General features: G+C 37.4%; 1 protein-coding gene across 17 annotated transcripts in view; it reads left to right on the forward strand.

The window, feature by feature from the left end:
• AFG2A (AAA ATPase AFG2A) overlaps positions 1 to 24671 on the forward strand; it is a 396356-nt gene that overhangs the window by 167288 nt on the left and 204397 nt on the right. For 8 of the 17 annotated variants that reach the window (NM_001438322.1, NM_145207.3, NM_001437913.1 and 5 more), the window contains one exon: positions 214 to 340. In NM_001438322.1, coding sequence (NP_001425251.1) covers positions 214 to 340 — 127 coding nt within the window. Of the gene's footprint in view, positions 1 to 213; positions 341 to 4904; positions 12241 to 15712; positions 18984 to 24671 lie in introns of those variants that run through there. The other 9 variants (XR_007096375.1, XR_007096376.1, XM_017007827.3 and 6 more) reach the window with 3 other exon arrangements.

Raw genomic sequence — 24671 nt, forward strand, 5'->3', positions numbered from 1 at the left:
ATGAACATGGTTGATGATAGAGGAAAATAAATGATTTGAATACAGTTTGTTTTGAGATATGATAATGCAGTAAATAAAGTCTCAAATGCATACTTCATATTTGAAAATAGACATGATTTCTCTTGTTATAGACTATAGAACCTTTAAAAATTAATAGATAATAGTATTTGAAGATAAGTAAAGATATTTTTTAAACCGTACTTTCAAAATCAGTTCTTTAGGTGCTGGGAATGTAGCCGATCGTGTTTTGGCTCAGCTCTTAACAGAAATGGATGGGATTGAACAGCTAAAGGATGTGACCATTTTGGCAGCTACTAACCGTCCAGATAGGATAGACAAGGTAAGAGAGAAGGCATTGTGGATATTATAAAATCAAGAACTGGCTTGTTTGATTTTATCAGGTTTTTGTTTTTGTCAAATTACTTTCTAATCAGTATTTCATTTAGAGGATATTGAAGAATGTAAAGCAGGTTCACTGTGGACTGGTTACCATCTTGTCTGAGTCTGGTAAGACAGAACATTCTTGCATACAAGTTATACAAAGCAAGTTTACCACTTCTGGATAGGCAGCAAGATACAACAGAAGCCTAGGATTCATTGCAAGCTAGTCTCTCAAGGTTCAGGAAAACTGCCCTGGGTGAATGGAATCTTGACTGCATATGCCCCACTTGCACTGCAGCTGAGGGCCTCTGGAAAGCACCCTGTTCCAGGTTTTATACACTGAGTATGTGAGACTCACTGGGCTAAAGTGTTGGAGGACATCCTGTTTTTAGGGGAGGACTGGAGTAGAACCTGGGCTGTTCCAGCCGGTCCCTCCCTGTCTCAGGATGTTGCATTTCCTGCACATGCTACAGTTATTCTTGAGAGCTACGATGGGAGAGAGAGAACTTGGTCATTCCAAGACCACCCAGAGAGCTGTCCTACAAAGGATCTTAAACTAAAGGAAATGAAGAGAACAAAGGAAAGCTTTTATTTACATTTTTATTGCTTATGATTCAGTATTAATGAAACTATTTCATAACTCTTCAATATCTACTCCCCAATCTTGTATCTTACTTTTAGCATATTTCTCTAGAGAATTGAAGTTTTGAAATTCTTTGTTTCATCTAATTTATTCTTCCAGAGTTTTCAACATTTTCATCTATACGAAGGTACATTCTAGCTATTTAGCAAGTACTAGTTAGACTCCAGTTGCCATCAACACAAGAACTTTGAAGAAGTACTGTCCTAATTGTTGTTTTTAAAGTAATTAGAATAAAAATAATGGATTCTTCTATTTTTTTAAGAAGTTAGTCAGGCTGTCACATTAAATTAAGTAGTATAGGTGCAAAACCAGTCCTTTTAAACTATTACTACCACTTTTTCCCTAGGTCATAATTTAATAAAGGAGTTCAGTAATTTAAGTTCCTCATCTATATCTAATATGTAATATTTTATAAGGATTTAAGTTGAGTAAACATTTGCTCTCAGAGCGTGAACCAGTTTCTCTTTTTTGTTGTTGCTGGCATTATTGCCTTGTGTATGACTTTATGAGCTACTTTCTTCCTGTGTACATATACACATTCTTTCAGTTTTAAAAGATGTGATTTTTAAAAAAGACCCCTTTGAATGTAACTATTATGTGGCAAGAAAGCCTTGCTTTGGTTAGGTATTTTGCTGTGTGATAAAGATCCTTTGGTAAAATTCAGGAAAGCTTTGGACCTTAAAAAATCATTCCCTTCCTGATGCAGTATTTTATTAGAAGATAGGTGAGTTCTGAGTATTTATAGAATCTGGGTTGGTGTTAAGGCATCTCTGAAGTCTATACAAAGTATAAGACTGTATCTTAACAAGGACTGTAGAAACTGCTGAAAGAGCCCTTAAAGTTTACCTAATTCTGCCTCTGGTTTCACAAATAAAGGGTGCTGAATCCAGAAAAATCTTTCTCCTGGTAAGAATTCATTGTATTTTTATGATATTTATTTCCTGGTTTCCCTGTGGTTAATAAGCTCTAAAATGTCTTAGGATTTTTGTCACTACGGCTTAATCTAATAGTAGCCTTCTTTGGCTTCCTAATGTTGGGTGTCCTCGATATTAGATATATTTCTTGAAGTAGGATGTAAGGCTTACAGTAAACTTAACTGCATTTTTCTAAATCAAGCTGTCTGACTTGGCCTGTTTAGTGCTTGTATTGTTGTTTTCTTTCTGTGTAACAAATTACCACAAATTTAGCAGCTTCGCACCCATTTGTTAGTTCACATTTCTTAGGTTAGAATGTGGGCACAGCATGACTAGTTTGTCTGCTCAGGATTTAAACTAAAGACTGAAAACACAGTGTTGGCTAGACTGCATTCGCATTAGGAGCTCATGTTTCTAAACTCACATGATTGTGGCACAGCTCACTTGTGATTGGGGCTGAGAACTAAAGACTGAATTTCCTTACTTGATGTCAGCTAGGAGCCACTCCCAGCTCCTAGAGACTACCCACATTCCTTGCCACACAGCCCCCTCCTCCATCAGAAACAGCAATGGAAAACTCCATTATGTTTTATCCCTGTCACACTTCAAATTTCCTTTGCCAGGAAATTTGTCCCTTTGGAGGGCTCATCTAATGAGGTTAGCCTTATTGAGGAAAAATCTCTGGACCTTGAAGTCAGTTGATTAAGGATCCTGCAAAAGCCCTTCGCAGTAGCACCTAGATTAGCATTTGATTGAATAAGTGGGAGAAGATATGTTTCTATCAGGGTGATACAGGACAGGCCAGCCCCAGAATTGGGACATAGCCTAGGAGGGTTCTTTGCTACCCCCAGGAAAGAATTCAAGAACTTGCTGGGGGTGTTAGACAGCAATCTTTTATTGATTGGTACTGCCCGTTGTGGTGCAGGGCTAACTCATAAGCAGTGCACCCAGAGTTGGCAAGGTGTGGGCTTTTGGCAACTGTATTTATACTCACTTATGCCCACTTTCATTTACATGCAAATTAAAGGGTGAGTTAACACAAATTGATTCTATGAAAGGGTAACTTCTGGGTCACTGCCATGGAAACGGGTGGTAACTTTTGAGTCATTGCCATGACATTTGTCAACTGCCATGGTTCTGGTGGCAGTGTCTTAGGCCAATGAGCATTGAGCGCAGCTAGAGATCGCTTTTGTTGCCATCTGCTGGCTTTGGCCAGTTTCTTCACTTTGCCCCATGTGGACTAGATCCTGTTTTGTTCAGCAGAGTTTTTCACCAGAAAACAAGTCTTGTTGGTCTCCTACCTTATTCCCCCCTCAGAGATTAGAAACTCCTCCTTAATCTTAAAGGGCTGCAGATGGGCACAGGTCTATCTTCTGTAAGTGCTTTCTGCTGATTTTATAAACATAGGCTCTGCCTAGCATGGGAGGAGTAAAAATCTCTGGATACCTGATCTAAGGAGCCCAACAGCAGGATATTTTCATTTTCTGGGTCAGAAGATAAGATGAGTTGGAAGCCTTGTGCCAGCATCATCTTTATGTTGACTTTAGAAGATACAAACTTTAGTAGGAGGTTAAACAAGAAAATTACAATTATAAGGAAGAGAAAACTTAATGCTCCTATGCCCACCCACAGCATCACATTATTTATCTGTGTGTTTGTGAAATAATAGCTTTAAGTCTTCTAGAGGTTTGTAAGTTATGGTGTCTTCCTCTTATGCCTGCAGCGACTTACAAGAAACAGGTTTAATCCTGGACAGCTGTATCCAGCTAGTGATTCTCTAATGTTTGACAGCAGTGGAGGTCCTTAACAATACCTGATAGGGGTCCTTCCATTTTGGGTTGTAATTGATCATCAGGGGATCTTTCTTTTTAAGTTCTTAGTAAGACTAAGTCTGGTTAAACAGAGGAACTATTTTTTTCTTTGTGGGAAACGGCAACACTTTATTTTCATAATTTTGAAAGGCCTTTTGAACCTGGCCTAAATTCCAAGAGCCGGGGTGGCATAGTGAAGTCTGTCCAACCCCCTATTTCCCATCATGGCTTGAATTAGTTTTTTAGGTTTCTGTAGGATTTCCTTTGGCCGGGGAACGTGTAAGTCAAAAGACTTATAGCCAATTAAACATTTTAGGCCAGAGAGGAATGGAGGTGGCTTAAAACATTTTAAGCAATATAGGAGTCAAATATTAAAAGCCAAAAATAAGATTATATATCAAGAAAAACCAAGAGCATCAAATCAAGCTATACTGGGGGAAAAGTGTTCCTGTAGATCTCTAAGGCAAAACACTCTAGTATCAGGCCATAACAGCAGTCAGAACCAGAGGAGAAACAAGTTACAGGAGCTGACAAAAAAGCTAAAGGAAAGAGTTACACAAATCTGAGAAGCTTTCAAAAGAAATAAATCACAGAATTGAAAAAGCAAAAATTCTGGTAAGTTAGCAAATTAATACCTTAAGAAAAGCTGGCTCTAACACCTAGACCATTTTCTAGAAAGTCTACCACGAACAGTTTTCCTTCAGTCACAGCCAGCTTAATCACACACAAAACTCCCCTCACAAATTCCCTTTCACAAACCCCATTATCACCCACACAGACCATCCATGACATGTCTGGACCTTGTGACCTGTCCTACACCATCTCCCTCTCAAACAACCAGTTACTTTACTCTAGGACAAGAATCCACCATGCAAGGTCCCTCATACAAAATCACTTTCTTTATATCCCTCCCCACAAAAAAAAAAAAATATATATATATATATATATATATGTGTGTGTGTGTGTGTATATATATATATATATATCTTTTATCCACACTTTCCTCACATCCCTCTTTTTATTCATTGATTCCCTCTTATTTTGAACCATGGCCTAAATGTGCTGTATATATTCTGTAGTTATGGTGGGGAAAGTGCCTTCAGTATTTAGTGATAATTATAAAAAAGTTTAATATTTAATTCATTTCTCTTTCAGGTAGAACTCCCTGTGGAACATGAATTTTTTTTAACTATACTTTTGTTACTACTCAGATGATATATACTGTATCAAAAGTGTATGTCCTTGTCAAGTTCTCTAAAGTTTGTGAAATACAAGAGAATATGCAGTAAAATTTTAAGTCTGTTTCCTTTCCAGATACTTTTTCTCTGAAGAACTACTGTGGAACATTACTTATATTGTTTAATAGTACTATAAAGTTGTTTCCACACTTGTATGATTAGCACGTAATGTTCAAACTGTGCCATGAATGTGCTGGTAGAAACAAAACAGTTTTAAGGACAATTAAAACAACAACATCCTGTTATGAAGTAAAGACACAGTTTTTACCATCTTTATTGTCTGGAAGAAACTGTAGTAGGAATAAAAGAGGCGACGAAGAGTTAAAGTACATTTTATGTTTTTAGGCTAAAACTGATTAAAAAAAAAGATCATTGTAGGGTCAAAGAAATTGATATATATAGTGTAATTTTGGCTACATTAAATCCAGGCATTTGGCCTTTTAAATTAGCTAGCATATTTTACAATCTTGTTGCCTCTTACCCCACAACCTCTATGTTATGATGATTTTAGGTTAGTATGTTAAAACAAGGAGAATTCCTGGACTGTCACAGGAGTGAAATTGATATCATTATGTTACCCATGTGTTGTGCATATTTAGTGTCTCTTTTTGACAGTATTTCAGTTTCATGTCTTCTGGGGAGACTAAAGCCAAAGTTTCTTGGGGATTCTGGTGTTTTAGCAAAGACAGTGAGACACATAGCTCAAGAACTGCGTTATTTTACTCCTTGCTATGTCACATTTACATGTCAGACTCATTTGCTGTGATGTAGCACACTAGGCTGGTGAAATAATTGCTTGTGATGTCCCTAAGTCCCCGAGGCTTTTTTCTACCTCCTGCTTAGATAGTGAAGAGAAGTTGAAGTTGAGTCCTCTAGTGTTCATTTTGCGTAAGAGTGATAGGATGCGGTAGGACAGATGAAGATTAATGAGATTGTGTGATATCAAGTAGGCTCATTGTCTTTAGATTGATTGCTGATGGTCTGGATTTGCTTAGCATCAGGAGAGTTTAGAAACAAACAACTAATTTATTAATGATGCCCAAATAATAGTTAAATGCCCAAACTTTTGGAATTTATGTTGTTCATTGTTAACAACTGCTGTGTGGCCCCTTTAGAAGTGTCCAGTCCATGACATTTTATACATTTGTGTTGAATCTTAAGGAAAACATGATCATGTCTTCTTTCTCGGGTGATAAGCATGCCTCAAAATAGTTTTAATTCTGTGAATATCTTTGAATTCAGTTTATTTGGGTACTTTTAGTACGGATACCTACTATATAACAAGCTCCTAATAAGAACTATTAAATTATAAGCATTATCCCTAGCGTATAAACCTAGTTTTCTTGTAGTAGGAAATTTGAAGGACTTCAAAAATTTTACTTTAAGCCATCTATGGAAAAGATTGCCCAATTGAGAAAAATTGTGAAAGATATGTAGAAGTCTTAAATAATTTTGGTTTCAGGATTATTTTCTATTGTTGTGTTAGACTCATGGAGGTAGTAAATTGGCATTAATTTTCCTTACAGTTTTTCTGGAAGAGGAAATGTGCTTAATGAGCTAAATAAGACATAACATTTTGTTTTCTTACATTGTTGCAAATTGAAGTTGGGTTTTGTTGTTTGTTTGTTTTGAGATGCAGGTCTGGCTGTTTTGCCAGGCTGAAGTGCAGTGTCTATTCACAGATCATTAAGTTGTGCAGCCTTAAACCTTTGGACTCAAGCAATCTCCTGCCTCAGCCTCCCAAGTAGCTAAGATTATAGGTGTGCACCACAGCATCCAGCTTAAAATTTAGTTTTCTAGAAAGTTTTATGACATGGGGAAAAGTTAATTAACAATATTTAGGAATGTCCACAAATAAAAAGCTAAATATACGTATCTTTCGATATTCAAATGACTAGTATTCCAAAAATACCCTCAGAAGAAAGGCTACAAATGTTTCTTCATTCTCCATTTTTCCTAGTTATAACTATTGCTCTTCTAATATTACTCTTCTTAGCTAAGTCAGAACTAAAAAAAAAAAGCTGCAAGGACTAATTGACATTAATAGTTCAAATGAATCATAATTCTTTACTTTCCCAAAAGTATTTAAGGAATGGATGCCTATTAATCTTTCACATTGTTTATCAAAATGATGTGAATAGTCTTTGGTGAGCCATATTAAGATTAAAGCTGGAAAGCGTCCTGTACGGTTGTTTTCCAATTTCAGCTTTGCCATCTTTACACAAGACTCTCATAAGTGTTTTTGTTATTGTTGCTGGATTCTTCTTTTGTTTGTTTTTAAAACTCCAGGTGTTTTAACTTCTATGACAGTTATTATTCTTATCTTCTATGGCAGCCCCTTCCAAGTTTTGGCTTTGGGGATAGAGAATTGGGAGAGATCAGAGAAGAGAGACTGGTGAGAGGTTGTATGCATATGTGGGTCTTACTTCATTTCGATGTTCATAAGATAAAGACGCTTTATCTCAAGGGTTGGCAGACCATGGCCTTTAGGCCAAACGTGACCCACCAACTGGTTTTGCATATCCCATTGTCTAAGAATAGTGTTTACATATTTAAATGATTAGGAAAATACTTTAAAAGTGGTTTTTTGTGACATATGAAAATTATATGAAATTCAGCTTTCAGTCCTCATAAATAAAGCTTTATTAGAACACATCCACACTAATTTGATTATGTTTTGTCTGTTACTCCTTTTGCACTACTGTAGTAGAGTAGTTACAGTACAGACTTATGGCCTATAAAGCCTAAATTATATACTCTAGACCTTTGCAGAAAAAGTTTCCTGACTCTTGATTTGTCCTTGTAAGTTTTTAGAAGATTAGTAGCCTTTAATGTCTGTTGTTCATATATGAACCTCACGTTTTTGTTTCTTTTTAAAAAAGATTATTTTAATTGACATAAAAATTGTATCTGTTTATAGAGTACAACATGTTGTTTTGATAATTGTGTATTCATTGTGGAATGGCTAGATCAAGCTATTTAACATGTGCATTACTTCACATACTTCTTATTTTTTTGTGATGAGGACACTTAAAACCAACTCTCTTAGTAATTTTTAAGTATACAATATATTGTTAACGATAGTCACCCTACAGTACAATAGACCTCTTGAACTTATTTCTCCTGTTTAACTGAAGGTTTGTATCCTTTGACCAATATCTTCCCAACTCCCTTAGACCTCCAGGCCCTGATAACCACCATTCTACTTTCTGCTTTTGTGAGTTCAACTTTTTAAGACTCCACATATAAGCAAGATCATGCACTATTTGCCTTTCTTTGTCTGGCTTATTTCACTTAGCATAATGTCCTCCAGGTTGATCCATATTGTCACAAATGACAGGATTTCCTTTTAATAAAGGTTGAATAGGATTACCTTCTGTATACATACCACATTTTCTTTATCCGCTTATTCTTCGATGCATACTTAGGTTGATTCCATGACTTGGATATTGTGAATAATGCTGCAGTGAACATGGAGTGCAGATGTCTCTTGGACATACTGATTTCATTTCCTTTGGATATATACTCAATAGTGGAATTGCTGGATCATAAGATAGTTTTATTTTAAATTTTTTAGGAACTTCCACACTATTTTCTCTAATATCTGAAGTAATTTATGTTCCTACCAACAGTGTACAAGGGGTCTCTTTTCTCCACATCCTCACCAACATTTATCTTTCATGTTTTTGACAATAGCTATTCTAACAGGTATGAAATGGTATCTCATTGTGGTTTTCATTGGCATTTCTCTGATGATTAGTGATGTTGAGCACTTAAAAAATATACCTGTTGGCTATTTGTATGTCTTCTGAGAAATGTCTATTCAGGTCTTTTGCCCATTTTTTAATCAGGTCATTTGTTGCTGTTGAGTTCCTTATAAATTTTGGTATTTTAGATTTTAACACCTTATCAGGTTTGGTTTACAAACATATTCTCTCATTTTATAGGTTGTCTCTTCACTATGTTGAATGTTTCCTTTGCTGTGCAGAGGCTTTTTAGCTTCATGTAATCCCATTAGTCTATTTTTTCTTTTGTTGTCTGTGCTTTTGAGGTCATGTTCAAAAAATTATTGTCCAGGCCAGTGTCATGGAACATTTTCCCTATAACTTCTTTCAGTAGTTTTTCAGTTTTAGCTCTTTATTCGTCTTTAATTCATTTTGAGTTGAATGAGCCACAGAGTTTTTTTTTTTAAAGATTGTTTAAAATGTTTAACACGTACGTTTTCTGAAGATACATTATAAGTCGTATTTGAGTAAAAAATATAATACTGAACTTAAATAATAGTAGGGAGGCTGAATTAACTTATTTCAAGCATACACCATCCCCTCTTGAAAGCTCTCTTAATCTTTAATTTTTTAAAATACATTTTCTTCCACTAAATACTTATTTTTTCCAACTGACTCCCGAAAACTCATAAATCTACAATTGTTATTACATGAGTAATGTAAATATTTATTCATGCCACCTGAATCTTAAAGTTCCATTGGTTATTAGCTTTTTGTAGTTATGAGTTGTATGCCCTTTTTAGTATTTAGCAACATTGGGATTTTCAGGCTTAGATTTCTAAATTTTGAAAGATTCTGTGTTTAGATATATTTGTTTAGTAAATAATATTTGATGTTGTCAACGTGAATTGAAGTATGTTTAATATTAGAGAAAGTAATACCATAATAAAATACATGTTGCTGTCAATACCCAAGGTCTAAAAGAAATTTGGTTTTTCAAGACTGGAGAGGACATAGAAGGCTCCATGGTCTAGATGACCCATCTGATACACTGACACCTGTTGTAAAATCCCAACCCATCATTTCTTCATCCTTTGCTTATTCACCCACACTGATGGGGAACTATTAATTCACGAAATAGACCATTTCATTTTTGTGTCAGACTATTAAGAAGTTCTTTAATCCGATGAACAAGCAGCTGTTTGTCTCCCTAAACCCTCTATACCTCTACCTGATTTTATTCCAAAGTCTGTAAAGAACAGTTTTTAATCCTTCTTCTATATGGTGTTCCTTTATTTTTTAAAACTGTTAGTTATCTTGTCTTTACACTTTATCTCACTAACCAGTCTTTTGTTTTTCAGGCTTGACATTTTGGATTATTTCATATGCCATTGTTTTTCCGTCTAAAGCATTCTCATCTTTTTCTTGTGAACTATTTGTCCTTTTTGCTCTGAAGTTGTAACATCCACCAACAAATATATATTGATTGGTTGTGTTCTATCAGTACACAACTTAGTGAGACTCCTGCTGCCTCTACCCTGAATACCTTGCTTCTCCTAATGCATTCCAGGATTTTGTTAGCTTTGTTGTCAGCTGCACATTGAGATTGCTATTGAATAAAGTCATCAGGAACAACAACAAAGGTGAAAAGCCCAGGTCTTTCTTCAAAGTCTGCTAAATAATAGTTTTCACGCCTTGGGCTTGTGCAGTTAATTTGATTTAAGTTTCAGCAACTGAGGCACAATATATACCAGATATAGAAGTTATCCTCCAAAATTAGCTCCTCTAAGTTTCTCCTACTTTTCACATGATTCCCAGATATTCTTTTCTTTAAGTCCAAGTGATTTCCCAATTATTTCCATGGCTATGGCTACAAAGGCTTTAGGCCATAGGAATAGAGGAATTTATTCTTACTAAATTCATCTTATTAGATTTGATTAATCTTCCCAACTTGTCAACTGTGGGATCTTGTTTCTGTCATTCTCTATGTATTTCTTTATTCATTGATAGCAAAGGCACTATATATCTTAAATACCAAGAAGAATTTATATAGCTTTCTTTTTGAAAAATTGTTTAAAGTATCTAGTTCAAGATCCCCAATCTAGGTGAACTTCATGGAACATTTAATTGACATGGAGATAATTAGGGGATGTTCTGAAGAGTTACCAAAGAGAACTCCTAAAGAGAAACTAGATGGTTGAGATTATTTATGGAGGAAGAACAGATGAAAGTAAAATTCTGCTATTAAGAATACTATCTGGGTAAAGAAATGCTTTCTGCTTTCTTTGGTGGAAATAGATAAGAGTGAGCAGACTTATATTCATTCATTGAAATTCAGATAAATTCATAACCAAAGTTTTATTATATATATACTGATAAGGTGAAGAGTTCAACACTAATCTAGTTTGAACTCCATAGATATTTAAAACCAGCTATTTTAATTTCTTTTAGCTTTAAGACAATGCTGAAATATGTACTTAATTTTCTGAATACTTTGCTCTTTATAGTTGCCGTTTCATGAATTTGTGATATTAGACTTATTGTATGAGGAGTTTTGTATTTTTCTTCTTTGAACTTTTTGCTTATAGTGCTTTGGGCACAGACCTTCCCAAACCTTAGTATTTCTGGATGAATTTTTTGAGAGTGCACAACATTGGAAAGGAGCTTTTGCATAATGCCAGCAATGTAGCTGAGGAAATGGGTCTGGAGGAAAATGAGATTTGACACCTGTAACAGAGGATAAATATGATAGGGGCCAGAGTGCCTTATACAGAGTGTGATAGGAAAGCTCAAAACTAACAGAAACAAGCAATGGAAGAGTAAAGGCAGACAGATGGTTGCAGAGATCTTAGTTTCTGATGCTAGCTGTGTTATTAACAGACTGTGTATTATTTGAAATAATTTATCCTCACTGAGCATCTGTTTCTGTACCTGTGAAAAATGTACTAGATAATCTTTGATATATCATTCAAGCTCTACAATTATCTTCTTTTGTGACACAGAGACAGACAAGAATAGAGATTATCAATGTTATATAAAAGGATGTTACTTACCAAACAAGTTTCTGAGGTTTTTGTTTTTTGTTTTCTGTTTTGTTTCTTTTTAGGTACCACCTTCCCAGACTTTCTTGTTACTGTAACGTTTATTTCTTCAAACAGATCATAAAGCAAGCAGATATTATCCAGGTGTGCAAAAGTGATTAACCATGTGATTTTCAGAAAAAAAAAAAAAAAAAGAAAAAGCAATCAATCAGCCTTTAAGGCTGTTGTTGTGTAATAAAAACCTTGCTTGACAGTTGAAGTACACCTTAACTTTTTCATTTAAAATTTATTACTCTTTGAAAAAGGAGAACTTGTTGAGCAGCATATTTTCTTTTTTCACAGATGTCTGATTAGCCTGCAATATTTTGGTTCTATTTAATATACTTTTAACTATTTTTTAATGAATATGAATGTAAAAATAATGTTGAGTTAGAATAGAAATATCTAACTGTATGATTAAAGTTGAATCACTTATAAATTTGAAAAAGCTTCTTGTCTTCTATTGTTAATGCTCCTAGAATCTCATGTTTGAGAACGAATGTTCAGTGTAGCCAAAACCTAAATCTGGGACTATATGTTGAATGTTTTAAAGTCACTAGTAGAAGGGCAATTTGGTGGCTAATTTTAAAGTACATAAAGAGTATTAACAATAATGAAGTGTCATTTTGTTCCTGGCATTCTGTGTGTGTGTGTGTGTGTGTGTGTGTGTGTGTGTGTGTGGTGTCAAAAAAGTATCTGAAGGGGCCTGTAATAGAAAACCTAGTTCCTTTATGATATACACAATCTAGCTTGAAATTTTAATGCATTAAATTCATAAAACATGAAGAGTTTAAGCTTTGCAACACTTAATTGACACATGCGTCAGAATAAGTTTGGAAAAAAATGAACCTTCATACATTTTGACTTCTCTGTTTTCTATTTGATAACTTTGGTATTGCAGTTACTCTTTTTTGACACAAGATGGTGATGTTCACCTGAAATGTTTCCTGAGTACAGGCTCTACTGCGTTTAGAGGCTCCCCCTTATTTATCCAAAGAGCAGCTTAAAGAAATGAATGAAACTGGCTTTGCTTTAAGAGATAATAGTTGAAGAAAAGCAAGAGAGTGTGTCCTCTTTTATAACTGATTTAACAAATAATGATTCAAATTTAAGTGTGGGTTTGTGTGAGTTGAGGACTGGGGAGCGGAGAGCACTGGGAAAAAGGAAAGTTGAACAGTGGAGAATTAGCAGTCATTAGGTATGCAGTATGCATTAAGTCTATGCTATGTGTTTTACATATGATGTCTAGTTAATTTTAGTCAAATATGAGCACTTTACATGTATTTTACACAATACTAGTGCATTCCTTGTTTAATTGTGCAAGTTTAGAAGTACGGTGTGTGTTTGTTCTTTCTTAAAAAAATTATGACGTATCATCAGCCAGTGTAGTAGCTTTATTCATAATTTAAGTGATACTGTTTCATTTTTAAAAATACACAAGTTTCTTACATATAGTTAAATATATATTTAACATAGTATCCGACAATCTCAGTCCTAGGTATTTACCCAAGAAAAATGAATAAATTGTCCAGCAAAGACCTGTTTGTAATGTTTATAGCAACTTTATTTATAACACCTAAACAACCCAAATGTCTACCTACGTGAATGAATAAATAAGTTGCAACATGTCCATACAGTGAAATACTACTCAGTCATGAAAAGGAACAAATTATTGATATATGCAAAGATGGATAAATTTCAAAAGCATTATGCTAAGTAAAAATAGTCAGATATAAAAGACTATACACTATACTGACATTGTGAGGATTGCAGGGACAGAAATCAGTTCGGGGATCTGAGGGAGGAAATTTCACCACAGAGCAGCAATGGGAAACTTTTTGGAATGATGTAGATATTCTATATCTTGGCTGTAGTGGTGATTACAGGACTGCATATACAGGGATACCTCGTTATATTGTGGTTTATTGCACTTTGCAAGTAGTGTATTTTTTATAAATTGAGTATTTGTGGTAACCCTGCAAGTCCATTGGTGCCATTTTTCCAACAGCATATTCTCACTTCACATTTTGGTGATTTTTGTAATATTTCAATCTTCCTCATTATTATTATTATGTTATCTTGATCTGAGATCAGTGATATTTAACATTATTATTGTAATTGTTTTAGGACACCATAAACCACACCCATGTAAGACAGCAAACCTAATAAATAAACGTTTTGTGTTCTGGTTGCTCCAACAGCCAGCCATTTTTCTGTCTCTTTTCCTCTCTTTGGGCCTCCCTACTCCCTGAGACACAACAGTACTGAAATTATGCCAAAGAATAACCCTACAATGATTTCCAGATGTTCAGATTAAAGGTAGAGTCTCACATCTGTCACATTAATCAAATGCTAGAAATGATTAAGTTTCATGAGAATGGCATGTCAAAAGCTGAGAGAGGCCAAAAGCTAGGCCTCTTTCACCAAATGTTTAGCCAAGTTGTAAATGCTAAGGAAAAGTTCTTGAAGGAAATTAAAAGTGCTACTTCAGTGAACACATGAATGATAAGAAAGCAAAACAGCCTTATTACTGATATGGAGAAAGTTTTAGTGATCTGGATAGAAGATCAAACCAACTACAGCATTCTCTTAAGCCAAAGCCTAATCCAGAGCAAAGCCCTAATGCTCTTCAATTCTGTGAAGGCGGAGAAAGGTCAGGAAGCTGCAGAAGAAAAGTTGGCAGCTAGCAGAACTTGGGTCATTAAGTTTAAGGAAAGAAGCTATCTGCATAACATAAAAATGTAAAGTGAAGCAGCAAGTGCTGATGTAGAAGCCGTAGCCAGTTATACAGAAAATCTAGCTAAGATAATTAATGAAGGTGGTTAACTAAACAACAGATTTTTAATGTAGCAAAAACAGCCTTATATTAGAAGAAGATGGTAATCTAGGACTTTCATAGCTAGAGAAGAGAAATTAATGCCTGGCTTCACGCTTCAAAGGATAGGGTGACTCTGTTGTTAGGGGCTAATGCAGCTGGTGACTACGTGGAAGCCAGTGCTCATTTACCATTCTGAAAATCCTAGGGTTCTGAACAGTTATGTTAAGTCTACTCTGCCTGTGCTCGATCAATGGAAAAACAAAGCCTGGTTGACAGCACATCTGTTTACGGCACAGTTTTCTCAATATTTGAAGCTCACTGTCGATACCTATTGCTGAGGAAAAAAAAAGATTCCTTTTGAGATGTTACTGTTCATTGACAATGCACATGGTTACTCAAGGCTCTGATGGAAATGCACAAGGAGAATTAATGTTTTTGTGTCTGCTAAAACAGTATCTATTCTGCAGCCTATGGATGAAGGAGTAATATTGACTTTCAAGTCTTATGATATAAGAAATACGTTTCTTAAGGCTATTGCTGCTGTAATAGTAGATATGGGCAAAGTAAACCTCCTTGAAAGGAGTCACCATTCTAGATGCCATGAAGATCATTCATGATTTATGGGAGGAGGTGAAAATACGTCAACTTTAACAGGAGTCTAGAAGAAGTTGATTCCAGCCCTCAGGGATAATTTTGAGGGCTTCAAGACATCAGTGGAGGAAGTAACTACAGATAAGGTAGATACAGCAAAAGAGCTAGAATTAGAAGTGGAGTGTGAAGTTGGGACTGAATTGCTGCAATCTCATGAACAAATTAGAATGGATGAGGAGTTATTTCTTATGGCTGAGCAAATAAAGTGATTTCTTGAGATGGAATCTACTGGTGAAGATGCTGTGAATATTGTTGAAATGGTAACTGAGGATTTAGTATATCGTGTAAGTTTAGTTGTTAAAACAGCAGGGTTTGAGAGGATTGACTCCATCTTTAAAAGAAGTTCTACTGTGGTTTACCCTATCAAATAGCATTACATGCTACAAAGATATCTTTCATGAAAGGAAGAGTCAGTCGATGTGGCATACTTTATTGTTGTCTTTTTTTTTAGAAATTGCCACAGCCACCCCAGCCTGCAGCAACTACCACCCTGATCAGTTAGCTGTCATCAACATCAAGGCAAGACTTTCCACCAGCAAAAAGATTATAACTTGCTGAAGGCTTAGATAATCATTTGCATTTTTAGCAATAAAGGATTTTTAAATTAAGGTATATATATTTTTCCCCCATACATATTGGTATTGCATACTTAGTAGACTATCATATACTGTAAACATAGCTTTTATATATATTGGTAAATTAGAAATTCTTGTCACTTGCTTTATTGTGATATTAGCTTTATTGCAATATTAGCTTTATTGTAGTGGTCTGGAACTGAACCTGCAGTATCTTGGAGGTATGCCTGTATTTGTCAGAACCCTTCTAGCTGTAAAAGTAAAGAGATTGAATTTTACAATATGTGGGGTATACCCAAACCACCCTAAAAAAAATTGTTTAATTCGGAACACAAAGGAAAATGTCAGCTTTATACTTCAGCAACAGTTTCTTTTCACTTGGAGGTAAGGCCTCCTGCTTCTCCGCTCTTTTACCAACCTTTGACTATCTTTTACAACCCATTTACACAGACCTGCATTGTTATTGCCTCAGTGGGCTCAGAACTACCTCAGCAAAGAAGGGGACTTGGAGTGTTGCTTCACCAGCTGGAAACCTCCATGGCCAGTGGCTCCTTCTGCCTGAGTACTGCTCGCACCCACTGAGCTTGTTCTGCCCACTCAGCCCAGCAGGCTGCACTCTGCTCGTGCTACTGGCCTTAATCCCACACCTGCCAAGGGCGAGCGAGGCGTGGAGCGGTGAGGGTTGTGTGGGCAAGTGAGCCCAGGTTCCTGCCACTATGCACAGTCAGGCACACAAGCTGCTGCATGGGGTGGGCAGCTCCACACACTGATAACAGGTGCTGGCTCCATGCAAGGCTGTGGCTGGACCAGATGTACTGCACACATCTTCCACTCTGTGCACCCGTGACTGGACGAGGGGAACACAGTGGTGCCCAGAAGCTTGGAGAAGCCAGGAACCAGAGCCCCAAAGAGGGTGTCACAGCCCTGCCTCAGGGAGCCCCTAGGTCTGGGCTCCCCAGAGGGCTGCAACTCTTCTCCTTCTCATCACCCTCAATGTGGCAAGTCAGGGTTGGGGGTGTTTTTCAGCTTTGTTTGTGTTACTGCTCTTTCAGTCCCTCCATTTGGTGGGTCCTGAGTTCTTGTCCCGTGTCCAGGACCAGTGAGGTATGTGGACAACTGGAGGGTGAGCAAGGTGGAAAGGACTTTAATTGAACAACAGAACAGCTCTCAGGAGACCCAACATAGGTAGCTCCTTTCTGCAGCTAGTAGTCCTGAAGTCTCTCCAAGTCTGGCTGAGTCCAGGGGATTTTATGGGCTCAGAAGGGACAGAGTGCATGCTGATTGGTCCATGGGTGGCCATGGGCAGGCCCAGTGAAAGCACCCTAAGTTCTCACTCTGGGCCGAGGTCTCCACATGGAACTGGCAGCCCAGCCCCCAGGCTTCAGGCTGTCCATGTCTTGAAGGTGGGGTTTCACCAGGGACCCACCCCTTTGCACCCAGGAGCCTGTCTGCCTTCTGTCACCAGGAATGTGCCATCCATGGCCCCCAGGCTGTTTGTGCCAAGGAGTGCCTGAAGCCCTATGGCAAACCACCCTCAGCCCTCCTCAGCCTCCCTCCCATGCTCACCAGTGCCCAAAGTCCAGAGGGGTTCAAGGTGGCTGGGGGCTGGCATCTCAGTGTCTCCCTGAGCACAGGCACACCCAGTTGAGTTGTGACAGCACCCAGGCTTGGCCACAACTTTGCTCTGCCCAGAGCCTGCGCCACAATCGGAGTGGCCAGGGAGCAGGAGCAGTCACTTCTGAGCCTGCAGGGGCAGGAGGGCTTCCCAGGCCCCCAAGAACACAAGGATGCCTGGGTGCAGAGTCACGGCTGGACAACTGCAGTGAGCCCCGCCCTCCCAACTCAGTAGGGGCCAGGGCTCCTGCCCGTTCGCAGCCTTGACGGCTTGGCAGAGCTTGCAACTCTAGCCGCACCTACCCAGTGCAGCGGGCGTCCTCACAGCCGCGCTCCAGACGGGCCGCTGCTGCCATCATTACTCCCAAGTTTCGGGTCAGAAATAAGTAGAATTTTAGTGCTGGAGAGATTCTTAGAGAATTTGATTTCTTAATAAAAATTTGGCTAACTAGATATTTTACATGTAAATCTTTTAGAGAATTTATTCAGCAACAAAAATCAGTTATGTGTGTATTGACAGTTTCTAATCTAATTTTCATAAATATAACTAAAATTATGAAAATGTACTTAAAAAAAAAAGCTAGATTATACTCCTGTCTCCTAGAAGGGACAGTGCAGGTAAACCAGACCAGTGCCTTGTATCAATAATTATGTTTCATACCAAGTAATAATGTTTACCTTTTTGTTATGCCAGTACAATTTATGGCCTAAAAGTTACATGTTGTTTCTGTTTACATCAAGATATTTGATGACAGACTTAGTCAGAGGTATGTTTTGTTATGAAAAAGACAATGATAAGCCAGTTGTAAAACGAGTGCCTTTTGGAAATCTTGATTCCGGAACTTTTTTTTTTGTATTAGAGTACAAAAAAGAATATTTGTCATAGGATTTTATAAAAGTATAGTATATTCTATCTAAGTAGAAAGTTGAAGAAAATAGAATGCTAATGTTGGAGAAGGTGAGCAAAATTATATTTTTATGAATGTTTAGGATATTTTGGGAATTTCTAAGAGTTCAGCCTCTTTAATTCTATAGTTTGGGGCTTAACGCATTTTTTTTTAAATATGTGTGTTTTTTTAGAGGCTAGTAGAGGCCTGACATTTTGAGTTTAACAACTTTATAAGGTTTATTCTTAAATTCTGTATCAGACTTAATGTCTTTGAATTGTGTATTTAATAATTTGATGTCCTTTTGCTACTGCATTTATAAACCAGAATTCAGTCTTTGATGATTGCATTATATTACTAAGTGATTTGGGTAAAGACAGAGGGGAAAAAGAGAAAGAGGGAAGATGGAGGAGGGTAGAGGGAGGTTGAAGTGGTATATGTGTGTCGGTTGTTGTATTTATGTTTTATCTTTGCTTGTTAGACAATTAGAATTGAAGTTAAACACTAGGAAATAGATGATAAGTTTATCTCTATACTCCCAGGAAAATTTAACATTAGAATTAAGGCATTTAGCTAAACTAAGCCAAGATTGGAAAACTACTGTGCTCTATGCCTGTGTTTAGAAATAAAGTTTTATTGGAACACAGCCACATTCATTTTTTTTCTCTTGTGAGTGCTTTCACACTGCAATGGGAGAGTTGAATAGTGCTATATAGACGGTATGGCTGACAAGCTGAAAATGTGTACCATCTGGCCCTTTATTACTAATTATAATATGGCTTATAGAAAGGTATTAGTAATTGTTAGAACTAAGAAATACTCATATGATAGATCTCTCTTATCTGAAGCAATAATAATATTGAGCCTCATAGGAAAAGATTATATCAATCATCTGACACTGTAGGTGCTCCAACCCATTTTCTCACTCTGATTCTCCATACCTCCTTTTATGCTACTCAGCTGTTTTTTTCTGAGTGCTTATTAGTGTAGTGTAGTGAATATTATTACCACATAGTTTACTTATACACAGTATTTATTATTGTCTGTCTCCCATTGCTCTAATGCAAGGGAAGCATTTTTGTCTATTTTGAGCAAGGATTTTTGTCGTATTTACTGGTATATTCAGGTACCTGGAACACATAGTAGCAGTTAGTATGAAATAAACCTGCCTTCTTATTAACTATATTAATCAATTTAGAAAGCATCAGCTTTTCACTTGCTGGCTATATTTTGCTAATTCAAAATGCAAATAATTTGCTGAGCTAAATTGTATATCTTTTAATTTGTTTTCTCTGTTCTTCATTGAGAAAGTTAGTATTTTCTGTTTTTAACTTCTCACTTTAGCTACATGTAGTTTTTTCTTGGGGGTGATATGTGTTTAGTAGAAGGTAGTTCAGTAATATATTTACTGAATAGCAAAACGAACACTAAGATTAAAGCTCATGTTAACTACTCTGATGGCCTTGAGGAAGTAATGCTGAGAGTTTAATCACCATTAAGTAATTAAGAATAATTTCTCATAAAAGTTCTCTTCCTTCCAGTTATATTCATGACTGTGTTTTGGTGATAGTTGATTGCCCTGCTTACATAGTTGCAAAATTGGTAAGGAGAACAGTATTCTGCAGCCAAGTTTCCATGAGTTGATATTTCACATTCACATTTGTGACCTAAACCTGTATTCTGGCAGACAGTGAGAAAAGCCAAATGTTCTCGTAAGCAGCAAGGATTTTCTTCATGGAAAACAAAGAAGTAAAAATGTAATCCAAGCAAAACTATCATGTATATACTGAATTTTATAGGTATATCTACAGAAAATTAATATTTGCTTTTATGCATTTTATTACAAGTTTATTTTGTTAGGTATTATATTTGAAGTAAAAAATAAAATACAAAATTGAATACATAAAGGGAAATCAGAAAAACCCAGAAATATTACTCTAAGATAATAACAATTATTACCACTTTTATTTGAGCACATGCACTATACCAGGCACAGCACACCGTGCTTTATGTACATAATCTGTAACTCTCCTGACAACCCTGCAAAGTAGTACCTCTGTTTACATTTTGAAGATGAGAAAATTACTGCTCAAAGAGATTAAATAGCTTGCCATGATTCAGGAACTAGTAAGTAATGAAGGCAGTATTGTAAGGCAGGACTTTCTGTCTCCCCAGATACCTTATTCTTTATCCCGTAGCATGTCATTTTTCTCCAGTATTGTCATGATGTGTCATCAGATGACTATACTTTTTATCCATACTTTATTTAAAAATTTTATGTGTTAGAAAACTTATACTCTAGACATTTAAAATTTAAATTTTCATAACATAGTATGCTTCTGAATAACCTGAGAAGAATGTTACACAAAAGGAGATGGCTTGCTGATTCCGTGGAGTAATAAATGCCTACCTGTTTTCATTTTGAAGTTGAAGCCATTGCTTCTAATTTTAAGCCAACCTGTATTTTTTTTTCATTTTACCTTTCACATCTTCATAACATGTATTTGGCCTTATATAGCTGTGAAAATTGATTGTACAAATTGGTTTGAGCATATGAGACCTATGAACACTTGTATTCTGACTTAGCATAGAGTTTTATATTTTCTGAGTAGCATAGACCCATATATTTTTGGACACCCCTCGTATTTTACATTTAATAGAATGATGAACATGATTCATTAAGCCTTTCTTTGATGAAAGACAGAAACCACAGAGCAATGAAGATATTGGCATTTCTGATAAAGTTTGTATATTAAAGTCTTATGGTAGCCTATGAAAAAGAGCTTGTTTGGAAAAATTGAGAGATTCAAGTTTTGTATTATACTTAAGTTTTGTCACTTCATCAAATGCCTCCCTTTCTATGTCTTATCATGAATTTATTTTTTTCCCTTTAATAGTAGATCAAATATAGATAGCCAGGAAAGAGTAAAAGGTCAGTTATGGTAATATAGTGAAGATGTTTCATTCATACTTTAATATTATACAAGTATTAGTTTTGTATTATACTTCTTCTTCTTCTTCTTCTTCTTCTTATTATTATTATTATTATTTTGAGACAGAGACTCACCCTGTCGCCCAGGATGGGGTGCAATGGCATGATCTCTGCTCATTGCAACTTCTGCCTTCTGGGTTCAAGTCATTCTTCTGCCTCAGCCTTCTGAGTAGCTGGGATTACAGGCATGTGCCAATTTTTGTATTTTTGTGAAGACAGGGTTTCACCATGTTGGCCAGGCTGGTCTTGAACTCCTGACCTCAGGTGATCCGCCTGCCTCAGCCTCCCAAAGTGCTGGGATTACAGGTGTGAGCCACCGCACCCAGCTATACTTACTATTTTAGAAGAACTTTATGAACACTATTAATAATAAAATTGCTTTAAATTATTATCTATTGAGTGAATGAATGGCTGGCTGACTGAATGAATGCATACATTCAGAACTCTGGACTCCAAAATCTTTTAGAGTCTCCCTTTGAGTGGAAACTACTCTTCCTTGATTTTGGAAATGTTAAATTAAAAGATAGCTTAATATTGGTGTTGCTCCTTTCTATAATTGTCAAAAAGAAGTTATAGTGTCCTCATAAAGACAAATAAGGAGATAAAGAAAAACAAAAATAATTGAGTTAAATTGTTAATTTTTGTTTGTTTTATGTGATCCTCAGATTCTTGGGATTAAAATTCAAGCAGGGATGCAGTCTTCTTTTGAGTTACATGTTAGAGTCTGTGACATTAGCATTCTCTATCTCAAGCAGAAATGCTACCAAAATGGTTCTTGATTTAAGGATGTGATTTCTTTTATAGTCAGTATTTTTAACATATCACATTTGAGTCTTTTAAAACTTAACTGCTTCCTTCTTTCACATATCAGTTTCTCTTCCATCAGAGAGAATAGTGATATGGAATCATTTTGTCTGAATGGTTGGCTAAAAGTACATACTGTAGAAGGTAGAAACTTAAATACAGGATAATGAATTTTTTTTATATCTGATTCCCATTAGCATTGACATTTTTTTTTTCTGTTTCCAGACCATAAAAGCTTCTTCCAAAAGTATCCACAGGCACAGAAGCTCTGTTTAGATTTTTCCTATGTGCTTTCTTTTCTTGATATTTTGATTTTTTTCCAAAATGAGTTTGCTGTTTACTTTTGATGAAGTAAATATCTATATAAAATCTGAAGATTTTTATTTCTTGGATTTGGAGGGCAATTTGAACATTAGATTTTAAAGGCTTATACTTAAGATGACCATTAGTAGTTAAATCTGGTTTATAACTAATCTAGTGTAATTTAATTAATAGAGGTTAGTGTGGAGTCATTCATATATTTATATTTCCTGTTTCATATGTTTATAAATATTTGATGAGTATCATTGGCTTTTTTTCTCCAATGTGTTTGGATTCAAGGAATTAAGGGTCTGTATAAATACTTATTTTTCTGTGTGTGCATTTTCTTGTGTTTATTTTCATTGGTTTTGAGTTTGACTTAATATACACATGTGCATTTAAAAAGATGATCTTTCCAAAAGCTTTGCTTGGGATCTTTGCTAGGAGGATGAGTTAATGGATGGAGAGGGCTGCTTGCTTTACTGTTTATTTTCCCAGACAAATCCATGGAGACAGGCTGCTAATAGGATAGGAGAAAAACAACAAAAACAAATACAGCTTTTTGGCCTGGAACTGAATTGTATTATCTGTACTGTCAGAGCCTTTGCTCACTTACCCAGACGATCTCTACAGGGATTAAAGCTTCCTCCTGCATTTGCGATAACTTTCAGTATGCTGCAGCGTCATATCCAGTTAATATTAAAAAAAAAAATCTGGCTGTAAATAGTTACAAAATCCTCACCAAATCAACCTTTAGCAAGAGTGATTGTGCTGATTAATCAAACAAGATTGTCAGTAATTAAAGGAATACAGATGACTTGGATTTTATTTTCAGTTTTCATATGTAAATTCTTGCAGCCCTTCCCCAAGGTTGGGCCTGATTTTGTTATGGGATCTTTGGGCTGTTGCTTTTCTGACCAGCAACCTCTGTGGCCAGTGGCGCCTTTGCCTGAGTTCTTGTCCTGCATCTAGGAAGAATGAGGTACATAGACAAGTGGAGGGTGAGCAAGACAAAGAGGAGCTTTATTGAGTTAGAAAAGCTCAGAAGAGGCCTGCAGTGAGTAGCTCCTTTCTGTAGGCAGGTCATCTCGTTGAGTGTTGAGCTCTCAGCAGAGAGGAGGCCTGGAGTGGGTGGCTCCTCTCTGCAGGCAGGTTGTCCCGACGAATGTTCAGCTCTTAGCAGAGAGGGTAGCTCCTCTCTGCTGCTGGTCATCCTGTTGTCTGCAGCTCTTAGCAGAGAGGAGGCCCTGAAGAGGGTAGACTCCTCTCTGATGTTGATCATCCTGACCTCAGCAGCTCTCAGCAGAGAGGGTAGCTCCTCTCTGCAGTCGGTCCCTCCACTGGCTCTGCTCTGCTCTGGCTGAGTCCAGGGCTTTTATGAGCCTCAGAGGGGAGGAAGTGCATGCCGATTGGTCCATGGGCCTGCGGTAAAGGCACCACAAGTCCCCACTCTGGTCCGCAGGGCTGGCAGCCTGGCCCCCAGCCTTCAGGCCTGCCCTGTTCTGAAGATGAGGCCTCACCAGGGACCTGCCCTGCCCCTTCCCACCCAGGAACCTGTCTGCATCCTGCTGCTGCCCATCACACCCAGGCTGCTCACACCCGTGCCAAGGAGCACCCACAGGCCAGCCCAGAGCCTCATTCAGCTCCATCTTGGCCTCCCTCTCCTACTTGGCATCCATAGTCCAGAAGGGCCAAGGTGGCAGGAGGCTGGTGTGTCAGTGCTGCCTGGAGCAGCACACACCTGGCTGGGCCACAACAACGCTGGGACCAGGAAGAGGCCAGGCAATGGGAGCAGATACCCCTGAGTCTGCTGATGATGGGGGACCCACCTGGGTACTCGAGAGCACCAGGAGACCCAGGCCCACAGCCACAACCCAGGCAGCTGCAGCTGTGCCTGGGGAGCTCTCACCCTACCAACTCATAAGGGGCAGAGCTCCCGCCAGTCCCTGGCTCTGCAGAGTGTGCAGCATTGACTGTGCTGCCTTCTCTGCATCTCCCACAGTGGTGGCAGGTGAGGTGCAGGTGGCATAGTGGCCCTGGCCAACCCAGCACAAACAAACCCGATGCTCCCAGGGCTAGTCCTGTGAGTCCCAGTGGCAGCACCTTTGGCCAGGTGCTTGTGGGCTTTCAAGACATGGTGGGGCGCGAGGTTGAGGCTGCAATGGCGGCTCCGAACTTAGTAGCAGGTCCTGCTACCTGTGCGAGGGTGGAGGTGGCACAGTCCACCTTGAGGACATG

Source organism: Homo sapiens, chromosome 4 (assembly GCF_000001405.40).
Source record: "Homo sapiens chromosome 4, GRCh38.p14 Primary Assembly".
Classification (NCBI taxonomy): domain Eukaryota; kingdom Metazoa; phylum Chordata; class Mammalia; order Primates; family Hominidae; genus Homo; species Homo sapiens.